The 12944-nt window shown below is 48.3% G+C and overlaps 1 protein-coding gene across 8 annotated transcripts in view, besides 5 other annotated features; it reads left to right on the forward strand.

The window, feature by feature from the left end:
* Positions 278-842: an enhancer, noted in NCBI's record as "NANOG-H3K27ac hESC enhancer chr3:50120996-50121560 (GRCh37/hg19 assembly coordinates)". NCBI's record gives its function as "activates a minimal SCP1, AML or CMV promoter by ChIP-STARR-seq in primed H9 embryonic stem cells {active_cell/tissue: H9 hESC(primed)}" and the evidence as "EXISTENCE:reporter gene assay evidence [ECO:0000049][PMID:30033119]".
* Positions 5491-6082: an enhancer, noted in NCBI's record as "NANOG-H3K27ac-H3K4me1 hESC enhancer chr3:50126209-50126800 (GRCh37/hg19 assembly coordinates)". NCBI's record gives its function as "activates a minimal SCP1, AML or CMV promoter by ChIP-STARR-seq in primed H9 embryonic stem cells {active_cell/tissue: H9 hESC(primed)}" and the evidence as "EXISTENCE:reporter gene assay evidence [ECO:0000049][PMID:30033119]".
* Positions 5602-5771: an enhancer, noted in NCBI's record as "active region_19887". NCBI's record gives its function as "activates an Ori minimal core promoter by ATAC-STARR-seq in GM12878 lymphoblastoid cells {active_cell/tissue: GM12878}" and the evidence as "EXISTENCE:reporter gene assay evidence [ECO:0000049][PMID:35858748]".
* RBM5 (RNA binding motif protein 5) overlaps positions 5634-12944 on the forward strand; it is a 30103-nt gene continuing 22792 nt past the window's right edge. For all 8 annotated transcript variants that reach the window (NR_036627.3, NM_005778.4, XM_011533262.3 and 5 more), the window contains exons 1-4: positions 5634-5744; positions 7097-7166; positions 8758-8923; positions 10435-10590. Coding sequence is in view for 7 of the 8 variants with exons in the window: in NM_005778.4 (NP_005769.1) it covers positions 7150-7166; positions 8758-8923; positions 10435-10590 (339 nt within the window). In the remaining variant the exon portion in view is untranslated. The remainder of the gene's footprint in view (positions 5745-7096; positions 7167-8757; positions 8924-10434; positions 10591-12944) is intronic.
* Positions 5812-5921: an enhancer, noted in NCBI's record as "active region_19888". NCBI's record gives its function as "activates an Ori minimal core promoter by ATAC-STARR-seq in GM12878 lymphoblastoid cells {active_cell/tissue: GM12878}" and the evidence as "EXISTENCE:reporter gene assay evidence [ECO:0000049][PMID:35858748]".
* Positions 6083-6673: an enhancer, noted in NCBI's record as "NANOG-H3K27ac-H3K4me1 hESC enhancer chr3:50126801-50127391 (GRCh37/hg19 assembly coordinates)". NCBI's record gives its function as "activates a minimal SCP1, AML or CMV promoter by ChIP-STARR-seq in primed H9 embryonic stem cells {active_cell/tissue: H9 hESC(primed)}" and the evidence as "EXISTENCE:reporter gene assay evidence [ECO:0000049][PMID:30033119]".

Genomic DNA, 12944 nt, shown 5'->3' on the forward strand with positions numbered 1-12944 from the left:
GCACAGGGCCTAATGATAATGGCACAGGTACTCAATAAATGAATAAATAATGCTGAGCTCATAGATTTATAGAAAATACTTGTCGGATTGAATTTTGATTATATCTCTTCCTTAGTTCATCAAAGCCCATCTTTGACAAAAGAAGTCATTTGGTTTCTTGGTATAGGCAAGAATTCTTTCATACAATTTTTTCTTCTTTATCTTCTAGAGCAATAGATCCCAGCCTGGAACCAAAACATGTGAACCAGTCTCTTCTTTTGCCAAGTGGTAGGAGATTTTTTTAAAAAAACATGATCATGATTTCATTAAAGAGGGGAACTTTTTTTTTCACATTCAGAAACTAGAAAAGACAATCTTTTTTTTTTTTTTTTTTTTTTTAATTGATCATTCTTGGGTGTTTCTCGCAGAGGGGGATTTGGCAGGGTCACAGGACAATTAGTGGAGGGAAGGTCAGCAGATAAACAAGTGAACAAAGGTCTCTGGTTTTCCTAGGCAGAGGACCCTGCGGCCTTCCGCAGTGTTTGTGTCCCTGGGTACTTGAGATTAGGGAGTGGTGATGACTCTTAATGAGCATGCTGCCTTCAAGCATCTGTTTAACAAAGCACATCTTGCACCGCCCTTAATCCATTCAACCCTGAGTGGATACAGCACATGTTTCAGAGAGCACAGGGTTGGGGGTAAGGTCACCGATCAACAGGATCCCAAGGCAGAAGAATTTTTCTTAGTACAGAACAAAATGAAAAGTCTCCCATGTCTACCTCTTTCTACACAGACACGGCAACCATCCGATTTCTCAATCTTTTCCCCACCTTTCCCCCCTTTCTATTCTACAAAACCGCCATTGTCATCATGGCCCGGTCTCAATGAGCTGTTGGGTACACCTCCCAGACAGGGTGGTGGCCGGGCAGAGGGGCTCCTCACTTCCCAGTAGGCGCGGCCGGGCAGAGGCGCCCCTCACCTCCCGGACGGGGCGGCTGGCCGGACGGGGGGCTGACCCCCCCCACCTCCCTCCCGGACGGGGCGGCTGGCCGGGCAGAGGGGCTCCTCACTTCCCAGTAGGGGCGGCCGGGCAGAGGCGCCCCTCACTTCCCGGAAGGGGCGGCTGGCCAGGCGGGGGGCTGACTCCCCCACCTCCCTCCCTCCCGGACGGGGCGGCTGGCCGGGCGGGGGGCTGACCCCTCCACCTCCCTCCCGGACAGGGGCGGCTGGCCGGGCAGAGGAGCTCCTCACTTCCCAGTAGGGGCGGCCGGGCAGAGGCGCCCCTCACCTCCCGGACCGGGCGGCTGGCCGGGCGGGGGGCTGACCCCCCCCACCTCCCTCCCGGACGGGGCGGCTGGCCGGGCAGAGGGGCTCCTCACTTCCCAGTAGGGGCGGCCGGGCAGAGGCGCCCCTCACCTCCCGGACGGGGCGGCTGGCCGGGCGGGGGGCTGACCCCCCCACCTCCCTCCCGGACGGGGCGGCTGGCCGGGCGGGGGGCTGACCCCCCCACCTCCCTCCCGGACGGGGCGGCTGGCCGGGCGGGGGGCTGACCCCCCCACCTCCCTCCCGGAGGGAGCGGCTGGCCGGGCAGAGAGGCTCCTCACTTCCCAGTAGGGGCGGCCGGGCAGAGGCGCCCCTCATCTGCCGGACGGGGCGGCTGGCCGGGCGGGGGGCTGACCCCCCCACCTCCCTCCCGGACGGGGCGGCTGGCCGGGCGGGGGGCTGAACCCCCCACCTCCCTCCCGGACGAGGTGGCTGCCGGGAGGAGACGCTCCTCACTTCCCAGACGGGGTGGCTGCTGGGCGGAGGGGCTCCTCACTTCTCAGACGGGGCGGCTGCCTGGCGGAGGGGCTCCTCACTTCTCAGACGGGGCGGTTGCCAGGCAGAGGGTCTCCTCACTTCTCAGACGGGGCGGCCGGGCAGAGACGCTCCTCACATCCCGGACGGGCGGCAGGGCAGAGGTGCTCCCCACATCTCAGACGATGGGCGGCCGGGCAGAGACGCTCCTCACTTCCCAGATGTGATGGCGGCCGGGAAGAGGCGCTCCTCACTTCCTAGATGGGATGGCGGCCGGGCAGAGACGCTCCTCACTTTCCAGACTGGGCAGCCAGGCAGAGGGGCTCCTCACATCCCAGACGATGGGCGGCCAGGCGGAGACGCTCCTCACTTCCCAGACGGGGTGGCGGCCGGGCAGAGGCTGCAATCTCGGCACTTTGGGAGGCCAAGGCAGGCTGCTGGGAGGTGGAGGTTGTAGCGAGCCGAGATCATGCCACTGCACTCCAGCCTGGGCACCATTGAGCACTGAGTGAACGAGACTCCGTCTGCAATCCCGGCACCTCGGGAGGCCGAGGCTGGCGGATCACTCACGGTTAGGAGCTGGAGACCAGCCCGGCCAACACAGCGAATCCCCGTCTCCACCAAAAAAATACGAAAACCAGTCAGGCGTGGCGGTGCGCACCTGCAATCGCAGGCACTCGGCAAGCTGAGGCAGGAGAATCAGGCAGGGAGGTTGCAGTGAGCCGAGATGGCAGCAGTACTGTCCAGCTTCGGCTCGGCATCAGAGGGAGACCGTGGAAAGAGAGAGAGAGGGAGACCGTGGGGAGAGGGAGAGGGAGAGGGCTAGAAAAGACAATCTTAAAGGACTATCCCTTATTGAACATATGTGGCTTTATTTAAAACAAAGAGCAACTCACTCTGATGTCTTTCTTTTTCTTACATCAGCTACCAGACAGGCCTTTGGCAGCAGAGCTCTGGAGCTCAACAGGCCAATGTCTAAAAGAAGATCAGCTACCAGAGATAATTTGGAGGATGGCACTTACCTATGGATGAAATCCATCTTTTTTTGCCAGGGACCTCTTCAAGTTTAAGAATTATTTTGCAGGCTGGGCATGGTGGCTCACGCTTGTAATCCCAGCACTTTGGGAGGTTGAGGCAGGAGGATCGCTTGAACTCAGGAGTTCGAGACCAGCCAGGGCAACATGGTGAAACTCCATCTCTACCCCAAAAATACAAAAAATTAGTTGGGCATGGTGGTGCACACCTGTGGTCTCAGCTACTCAGGAGGCTGAGGTGGGAGGATCTCTTGACCTGGATAGGTCGAGGTTGCAATGAACCGAGATCATGACATTGCACTCCAACCTGGGTGACAGAGTAAGACCCCGTCTCAAAAAAAAAAAAGATTATTTTGAGGTTTGTGAATAGCTATATAGCTTTTATGACTGGTGGTAAGCCCAGCTCAGCAAGCACCTCAGGAATATCCAAAGGTGCTTGTTGAACTGCTTTGGGGACAAGGCAGGCAACGGCTAGTGGCTATGAAGTCTAGTGAGTTCTAGATTCTTGGCATCTGCATCATCCATTGTAGGGTTTGCAGTGATGTCATCAATGTTAACTTTTAAATTTCATTAATGCATGTACTCTTTTCTGATATTTTGCATATATGCTTCCCCATAAATTGTATATATTTCCTCTCTAAATACACACACACCACATATATTATATTTCTACCTTTTCGTCTATATATGTATTGTGTATATACCTATATATAGATATATACACTGACATCCCTCCACTTATTCTTGAAAGATTTGTTTTCCAGAGAGAGAAGAAAATGGTATAGGCACAGTTTTCTGTAACTGATGTATAACTTTCTGTAACTAATGGTATAGGCACAGTTTTCAATTTGTATGACCTGAAAAATCAGTTCTGGCTGGGTGCGGTGGCTCATGCCTGTAATCCTAGCACTTTGGGAGGCTGAGGCAGGTGGATCACCTGAGGTCAGGAGTTCGAAACCAGCCTGGTCAACATGGTGAAACCCCATCTCTACTAAAAATACAAAAATTAGCTGGGTGTGGTGGCGGGTGCCTGTAATCCCAGCTGTTTGGGAGGCTGAGGCAGGAGAATCACTTGAACCTGGGAGGCAGAGTTTGCAGTGAGTTGAAACTGTGCCATTGCACTCCAGCCTGGGCAACAGGAGCAAAACTCCATCTCAAACAAACAAACAAACAAAAATGTTTGCAAAGCATCTAGGGCAATAATATAGCATCTAGTAAAGCGATCAACTAATGTTCCTCATTTTAATTTATTTTTTATTTTTATTTTTTTTTGAGATAGAGTCTTGCTGTGTTGCACAAGCTGGAGTGCGGTAGAGCAATCTCGGCTCACTGCAACCTCCGCCTCTTGGGTTCAAGCGATTCTCCTACCTCAGCCTCCCAAGTAGCTGGGATTATAGGTGTGCGCCACCACACCCAGCTAATTTTTGTATTTTTAGTAGAGACGGGGTTTAGCCATGTTGGCCAGGCTGGTCTCGAACTCCTGAGCTCAGCTGATCCACCTGCCTCGGCCTCCCACAGTGCTTGGATTACAGGCATGAGCCATCATGCCTGGCCCCTCCTTTTTATTTATTTATTTATTATTATTATTATTATTATTATTATTATTATTATTATTATTATTTTGAGACTGAGTCTTGCTCTGTCACCCAGGCTGGAGTGCAGTGGCACGATCTCAGCTCACTGCAACCTCTGCCTCCCTGGTTCAAGTGATTCTCCTGCCTCAGCCTCCCTAGTAGCTGGAACTACAGGTGCATGCCACCATGCCCGGCTAATTTTTGTATTTTTAGTAGAGACGCGGTTTCACCATATTGGTCAGGCTGGTCTTGAGCTCCTGACCTCGTGATCCACTTGCCTCGGCCTCCCAAAGTGCTGGGATTACAGGCGTGAGCCACTGCGTCCAGCCTTTTTTTTTTTTTTTTTTGAAACAGAGTCTCACTCTGTTGCCCAGGCTGGAGTGCAGTGGCGCAATCTCGGCTCACTGCAAGCTCCGCCTCCCGGGTTCACACCATTCTCCTGCCTCAGCCGCCCAAGTAGCTGGGACTACAGGCGCCCGCCACCATGCCCAGCTAATTTTTTTGTATTTTTAGTAGAGACGGGATTTCACCGTGTTAGCCAGGATGGTCTCGATCTCCTGACCTTGTGATCCGCCCGCCTTGGCCTCCCAAAGTGCTGGGATTACAGGAGTGAGCCACCGCGCCCAGCACCGGCCTCCTTTTTATTTTTTAGCGACAGTTTCTCGCATTGTCCCCAGGCTGGAGTGCTGTGACGAGATCACAGCTCACTGCAGCCTCGACCTCTTGGGCCCAAGCGAACCTCTCACCTCAGCTCCTGAGTAGCTGGGACAAGAGGTGCACGCCACCATGCTCAGTTAATTTTATTTTTTGTAGAGATAGGATCTCACTGTGTTTCCCAGGCTGGTCTCGAACTCCTGGCCTCAAGCGATCCTCCTGCCTCGGCCTCCCAAAATGCTGGCTTGTGAGTGAGCCACCACTTCACGCACGGTCTCCTTTTGAAGTAGAATTAGACAATGTTTTACACCGTGCCAGTGAAAGCAAACTGTACTCTCTACGGCGCTAGTAGCAAAAGCAAAGAATTATTAACATGCCTAATAGGAGCCCTAAAAACTAATCCAGGTCTGCAAAAGCCGATCGACAACTCTGTAGTGATTTAGAAGAGAATTGCAAGACATTAACACAGAGCGTCCTAAGTGACAGGATGGTCTGGCGACCACATTTCCCGGCAGCCCTCGCACAGCCAGGCCGCTTCGAGGATTGGACTTCTCCGCAGGAGGCGGGTGACAGGGGGAGGGGATAAGCGTGAGGTACTGTGGGTAGGAGACGGCCGTCGGCGGAGGCGCCATTTTGTGTAGCCGCCGAACCTTGTTGGAGGTTCTGGGGCGCAGAACCGCTACTGCTGCTTCGGTCTCTCCTTGGGGTAAGTGCGGCGGCTGTCTGTAACGACGGTAGGTTCTTGCCATTTGGGCTGGCCCCCAAGCCTCCCTTGTCAGCTGCCGGAGGCGACTGATCAGCTCCAGCCGGTTCTGTAGAGGGGCTAAATTACCCCAGGCGTTGGAGGGCCGCGCCCTTCCTTGTTGCCAGCTCTGTCAGTTTCCAGAGGGTGTCCAGCCAGCTCAGCCTTGGGCCTGCTTCTTTCTGGCTGTGACTTTGCCCCTTGTGGATACACGTCCCCTAATCTTCAGCCCAACGGAGCAGTGGAGCCGTCGCCTGTCCCTCGGGCACTCCTTGGGAGCTCCCTGGCAGTCTCTGGCCGCCATCCCCCGCTCAACTGCAACTGAATCGCCCTCTCCGAAAAGCTGTTCGGTGATCGCCCATCTGCGGGTTTGGAACCTCTTGGGAGGCGGGAGGGGCATGTGCGGGGAGGGCAGGCCGGACGCTGGAGTCGGTCGAGCAGGCCGTGACGCCGCCATCTCGGCCGCGAGACCCCACGGAGGTGGGTGCCGGCACCGCCCGGGAGACAAGGGGCGGCACCAGTGAATATGCCCCGGGACTTGTTTCCCCCCAGTGGTTCTTTTTCATTTATTAATTTCAACAAATCGTTGAGCATTCGCTCTAGACTAGGCTTCCAGAGACTACTGGAACTGATTTTTCGGACCTCGCGCTCATCGAACGCGGTCCAGCAGTGTGATGTCTTATTACCAACGGGGGGCGGGGGGCCGGGCTGTTCACTACTCAGTGGTTTGTAGTCATAAGAACTGGCTCAAGACGTGGTGGTTATTGTTACCTAGGAATTAGGTCGTTTCTAGCTTTGCTCTTGTCTTATGCGATACGTTATTAATGTAGTAGATTTCAGTCAGCTCAGTATCCCAGCTTCTACGAGGTTTTACATTTTTCATCAGAAGTGTTTGAATTTCATGTTGCTCCTTGTATTAATGAAGACACTTGGATTAATGTTTTAACGGTCAACTATCCCACGGAGTTGCTTTGATACAAAACCAAGGAGCTGATTGTAGCTCTGCCCTTTTTGCTTTGTAATTCTAAGGTAGGAGCAGGGAAGGAGTCTTCTGCTTGCTCCGTATTATGATTCTGTTAAATCTGGAATCTAATATTTTAAAATATGCTTAATCTTCCGGTTTTGCTCATTGTTAACAAAATGTTAGCACGATTTTAACGTTGACAGTTTGTCCCCACCACTTCCCCACCTTAGATAATCACTGTCAATGATTTGAAGGTTTGATGAAATCCCAGCCTCAGTAGTATCCAAGCTATGGAGCTGCTGACTTAAGTGATCTCTGAGATTTATAGCAATTAATCTCTCTTGTCTCCTAGAAAAAATAAAATTTGAACCTTTTGGAGCTGTGTGCTAAATCTTCAGTGGGACAATGGGTTCAGACAAAAGGTAAGTTACTACAGTACGTGGCTTTGATCTCAACATTTCAGTGGGGACTGAACTCCTTGTTTAAAATAGTTTATCAAACTAATATATGAGTGTTTTGCGCCAGGCATTGCTAACGAACACCTTTATGATCCTGTTGTCACAAACTACAGTCTAGTGAGAGAATTAAAGTACTGTGTGAACATGCTGTGATAAAGTGTAGGGTGCTCTTAGAACACATAGGAAGTATGTCTTTTTCTTGTTCACAGCCAGGAAAGCTTCCTGGAGAAAATATTCTCTGGAAGGAAGCTGAAGGATAAGAAAGAATTTTAGGCAAAGAAGGGCAGGGTAGAGTGGGTCACTGAAGGTTCCCTGTGTGGACAGCAACCTTTGCAGAATCCAGGAGATCATACAGTCTGGCACTTAGCACAGTTCCTGGCTGTGGTAAGCAATCAATGAATGCCATTTCTTGTTATTGTTCCCTGAATAGCAAGATGATCCAGACTTAGAGAGCTGAGAAGCTTGGGACTGTGTGTTACATGAAGAAAGAAAGAGCCAAAGAATTAGTGGAAAATTAAGATGAGAGCATTTGGCTATTGTGTCACCTATGGGTACATGCTCTCAGACCATTTGATTTAAACACACACCCTTATTCAGCCATCTGCCTTTTTAGTATTGAGGTCAGTCCCTGTGGTAGATCACATTGACAGGCTGAGGGACCTTAGGAGATGTTCATGTCACATGGTATTTTAATGCTGTGTCAGCAGTCTGTGGTTCTAAATAGCTTACTAAATTAACATTTACCCCTTTGGGGTGTCTCAGTCCCATATTTCCTTTGATTCTTTTTATTAAATTTGTATATTCTAAATGAAGCCCTTATAAACCTTTCCTTTGCCTTATGATTGCACAGCAGTTTTATGAATCTGGTAAACAGTTTACAAAAGGTGTATTTTATCTGTGGTCAAATAGGTTTAAGCCTCTTGTTATTAGGTTTTCCCATGAAGCCCAGTGCTGCCCTTTAGCCAAAAATAAACCAGATGTTATAAGAAGAGTGTTCTCTTAAGGGGTGCTAGTTTTGGGTAACTATCCAGTTGTATCTGACAGACAACTAAGTTGCCTGATGGGGAAAAAAAAGACTAACTTAGTTCATCCAGGTTTTTGGTCCATTTTCCAGTAGGCATGATACCCTTGAGAGTAGATGAGCCAGGGATGTACTTAATTTCACCCTTTAAAATTGGGTGAAATTCGAGTAACTGCTTTCTTCCTGTTTTTGGTCACTAAGATCTGAATCAGGGATGAAGGGATAATATGTAGACTCTAGGCTTGACAAAATGCAAAAATAAACTTGGACAACATGACTCTTTCTTAGAAATATTCAACCCAAATGTTTATTTCAGATTTAGCATACATTCCTGAGAATTATCATTACATTTAGGGATGTAGGTATTTTCCCAGTGGTTATCTTAGTAAACTGGAATTTGGTAATACTTTTTAACACTTTAAACTATTTGGATTATCTTATAAACTGATCTGTGGGCCGTGTGTATTTTTAACTATGTCTTTTAAAGGTACAAAATGTGACTGACTTTAGAATGAAAATTATTTTCCCTGGCAGAGTGAGTAGAACAGAGCGTAGTGGAAGATACGGTTCCATCATAGACAGGGATGACCGTGATGAGCGTGAATCCCGAAGCAGGCGGAGGGACTCAGATTACAAAAGATCTAGTGATGATCGGAGGGGTGATAGATATGATGACTACCGAGACTATGACAGTCCAGAGGTGAGTGACCAGCGGCTGTATAACCCCCCAAAACACTCTGAGCCTTATAGTAATAGAAATAACAGCCAGGCAGCCAGGTCCAGTGGCCCCTTCCCATAATCCTATCACTTTGGGAGGCCAAGGCGGCCAGATCACTTGAGGTCAGGAGTTTAAGACCAGTCTGGCCAACATAGTAAAACCCGTCTCTACTAAAAATACAAAAATTAGCTGAGTGGGGTGGTGGGCGCCTGTAATCCCAGCTACTTGGGAGACTGAGGTAAGAGAATCACTTGAAACCTGGGAGGCGGAGGTTGCAGTGAGCTGAGATTGTATCAGTGCTCTCCAGCATGGGTGACAAAGCAAGACTCCATCTCAAAAAAAAAAAAAAAAGAAAAGAAATAATGGCCAGGGTTTACATAGGGATCACCATGTACTTTTGAGCACTTGACTTCATGAATTCATTTAGGTCTCAGTACAACCTGATAAGGTAGGTGTTATTCCCATTTTAAAGATGAAACAATGGGGTTATGATAACATATTAGTTCTGTGTTTTGAAATGAATGATAAATATAAGTTGTTGGCCAGGCACAGTGGCTCACACCTGTAATCCCAACAATTTGGGAGGCCGAGGCAGGAGGATCCCTTGAGCCCAGGAGTTAGAGGCCAGCCTGGGCACCATAGGGAGACCCTGTCTTTAAAATAATAATAATGAAAAATAATAAATATAAGTTGTTGTTTTGGTCATCTTGATATATCTTTTTTTTTTTTTTTTTTTTTTTTTTTTGAGACAGCTTTTTAGTCTTGTCACCCAGGCTGGAGTGCAGTGGTGCGACCTCAGCTACTCAGGAGGCTGAGGTACGAGAATTGCTTGAGCCTGGGAGGCAGTGGTTGCAGTGAGCTGAGATCATGCCATTGCACTCCAGCATGGACGACAGAGGGAGACTCTGTCTCAAAAAAAAAAAAAACCAGAAGGCCGGCACGGTGGCTTACGCCTGTAATCCCAGCACTTTGGGAGGCCGAGGCGGGCGGATCATGAGGTCAGAAGATTGAGACCATCCTGGCTAACATGGTGAAACCCTGTCTCTACTAAAAATACAAAAAATTAGCTGGGCGTGGTGGCAAGTGCCTATAGTCCCAACTACTCGGGAGGCTGAAGGAGGAGAATTGCTTGAACCCAGGAGGCAGAGGTTGCAGTGAGCAGAGATCATCGCACCACTGCACTCCAGTCTGGGCAATAAGAGTGAAACTGTCTCAAAAAAAAAAAAAAAGAAAACACAGCAGGCTGGGTGTGCCTATAATCCCAGCACTTTGGGAGGCCATAGCAGGAGGGTCATTTGAGGCCAGGAGTTCAGACCAGCCTGGGTAACATAGTGAGACCCCTGTCTCAAAAAAAAAAAATTGCAGTGAACATTACCATGGAGTGCTTGTGTAATCTCTGTACACTTCCTGCTAAGGATAATTTCTAGGAGTGGAGGGTCTGTTTCAAAGAGTACAGGGTGATGTTAATTGTGATTTTGTTTATTGTAACTCAGAGAGAGCGTGAAAGAAGGAACAGTGACCGATCCGAAGATGGCTACCATTCAGATGGTGACTATGGTGAGCACGACTATAGGCATGACATCAGTGACGAGAGGGAGAGCAAGACCATCATGCTGCGCGGCCTTCCCATCACCATCACAGAGAGCGATGTAAGGGGAAATGACAGTTATAACCAGCAGTCAGTAGGCACAATGAACTTTGAGCTTCTACCATTATTTTCTCATGCTATTGTTTTATCTTAAGCCAATAGAGGTTGAGTATCCCTTATCCAAAATGCTTGGGACCAGAACTGTTTTGATATTTTTTTTTAATATTTGCATTTACATAAGTTTAAACATTTGCATTTACATAAGTCTAAACATGAAATTCATTTGTATTTTGTATATGTCTTATACATGCCAAAGGTAATTTTATACAACACTTTAAATAATTTTTTTTTTTTTTTTTTAAGACAGAGTCTTGCTCTGTCACCCAGGCTGGAGTGCAGTGGTACAACCTCGGCTCACTGCAAGCTCTGCCTCCCGGGTTCACGCCATTCTCCTGCCTCAGCCTCCTGAGTAGCTGGGACTACAGGCGCCCGCCACCGCACCCGGCTAACTTTTTTCGTATTTTTAGTAGAGACGGGGTTTCACTGTGGTCTCCATCTCCTGCCACCCGCCTCGGCCTCCCAAAGTGCTGGGATTACAGGCGTGAGCCACCTTGCCCGGCCAACACTTTAAATAATTTTATACACAAAACAATGTGTGCTTTGTTTTTTTGTTTGTGATATTTTTGTTTCTGTTTTTTACAGGCAGGGTCTCATTGTCACCCAGTCTGGAGTATAGCAATGCAATCATAGCTCACTGCAGCCTCAAACTCCTGGGCTCAAGTGATCTTTTTACTTCAGTAGCTGGCAGGTGCATGCCACCACACCCAGCTAATTTATTTTTTGTAGAGCCAGGCTGGGCTAAGTATGTTGCCTGGACTAAAAGGTTTGACTGCCCTCTTGTCTGTGACCTTTCAAATAAGGTCAGGGGTGGAATTTTCCACTTGTTGTGTCATGTTAGTGCTCAGAAAATTTCAGATTTTGGAGCATTTCAAATTTTTGGATTAGGGTTGCTCAACCTGTATCTATCTCAGCTAGTGAAATATTTTTCTGTCTTTAGGGAAAAGTTCACTGAACTAGGTTCAGAAGTAAGTTACCATTTTGGCCAGGCGCGGTGGCTCATGCCTGTAATCCCAGGCACTTTGGGAGGTCGAGGCGGGTGGATCACTTGAGGTCAGGAATTTGAGACCAGCCTGGCCAACATGGTGAAACCCTGTCTCTACTAAAAATACAAGAATTAGCTAGGTGTGGTGGTGCATACCTGTAGTCCCAGCTACTTGGGGAGGTGCTGAGACAGGAGAATGGCTTGAACCTGGGAGGCGGAGTTTACAATGAGCCAAGATCACGCCATTGCACTCCAGCCTGGGTGACAGAACAAGACCCTGTCTCAAAAACAAAAAGAAGTAAATTACCATATTTAGGCTTTGAAGCTCAATGTATGAGTTTTCTAAATGTCTTTAACCACAGGGAGCAGGTCTTCTGTCTTCATTAGCTCCTAGAAGATAATCAATATATTTTTATTGAATTAGTTACTTATTAGATGAGGATGATTGGTAAATACCTAATTTTCTTTATAATCTGGCCACCCTTTTATTTGTTGAAAATTGAACTACCCATTTGAAACCTCAGAAAAGCTTGTTAAAAAGGACGGCTCATTCAGACTGGCCAATTAGAGTCTTAGTGTACTTGGCACTGCCTGATTTCCAGCAGCATCTCTGGTCCTCACCCTTCCTTCCAGCCACACCCTACTTTCCACATCCTGGACTTTGGACATGTCCATTGCTCTACTGTTGTGCCTTTTTCTGCTTGGAGACGCCTGTATGTAAAGCCTGATCTATCGGGCAGAGCTTCTTCTTCGTTATTCTCTTCCTAAGGCACTGTATTCATGACTTTTGTGTAGCACCTTTACTGTAGCCATCAACACACATGTCTCATCTCTACCACAAGATCTCTGAAAATAGGCCTCTGTGTGAACTAGTCACCTCTGTGTCCCCAACCCTTGAACACAGTATGTTACTCAGCCAGTGCTCTTGGTAAAAATGAATGTGAGGTTTTAAAACAGCAGTGTGCCAGTATTTGTTTTCTTGGAGTAATCAAAGTAATATTCTGACTAATGTTTAGTTGAATTTTGGATAAAGCTCAAAATAAGCATTGGATTCCCGTAGCTTTGGGTTTCTAAACCCTGGAAGTAATGAATGTGACAAATGTGAGACAGGATATTAGAGTTAATAGTGGGTAATCATTCCATTATTTGTGATCCACTGCACATCTGCTACACTGTACATGTTAGATGCTACAGTGACACAGAGCTATGGATCTTGCCTCAAAAAAGCTTATGGATGAGTAGCTAAGGTCAGCAGATAATGGTGACAATGCAGAATAGAAAGGGGTCAGAGGCCGAGTATGGTAACTCATGCC

Source organism: Homo sapiens, chromosome 3 (assembly GCF_000001405.40).
Source record: "Homo sapiens chromosome 3, GRCh38.p14 Primary Assembly".
NCBI classification, from domain to species: domain Eukaryota; kingdom Metazoa; phylum Chordata; class Mammalia; order Primates; family Hominidae; genus Homo; species Homo sapiens.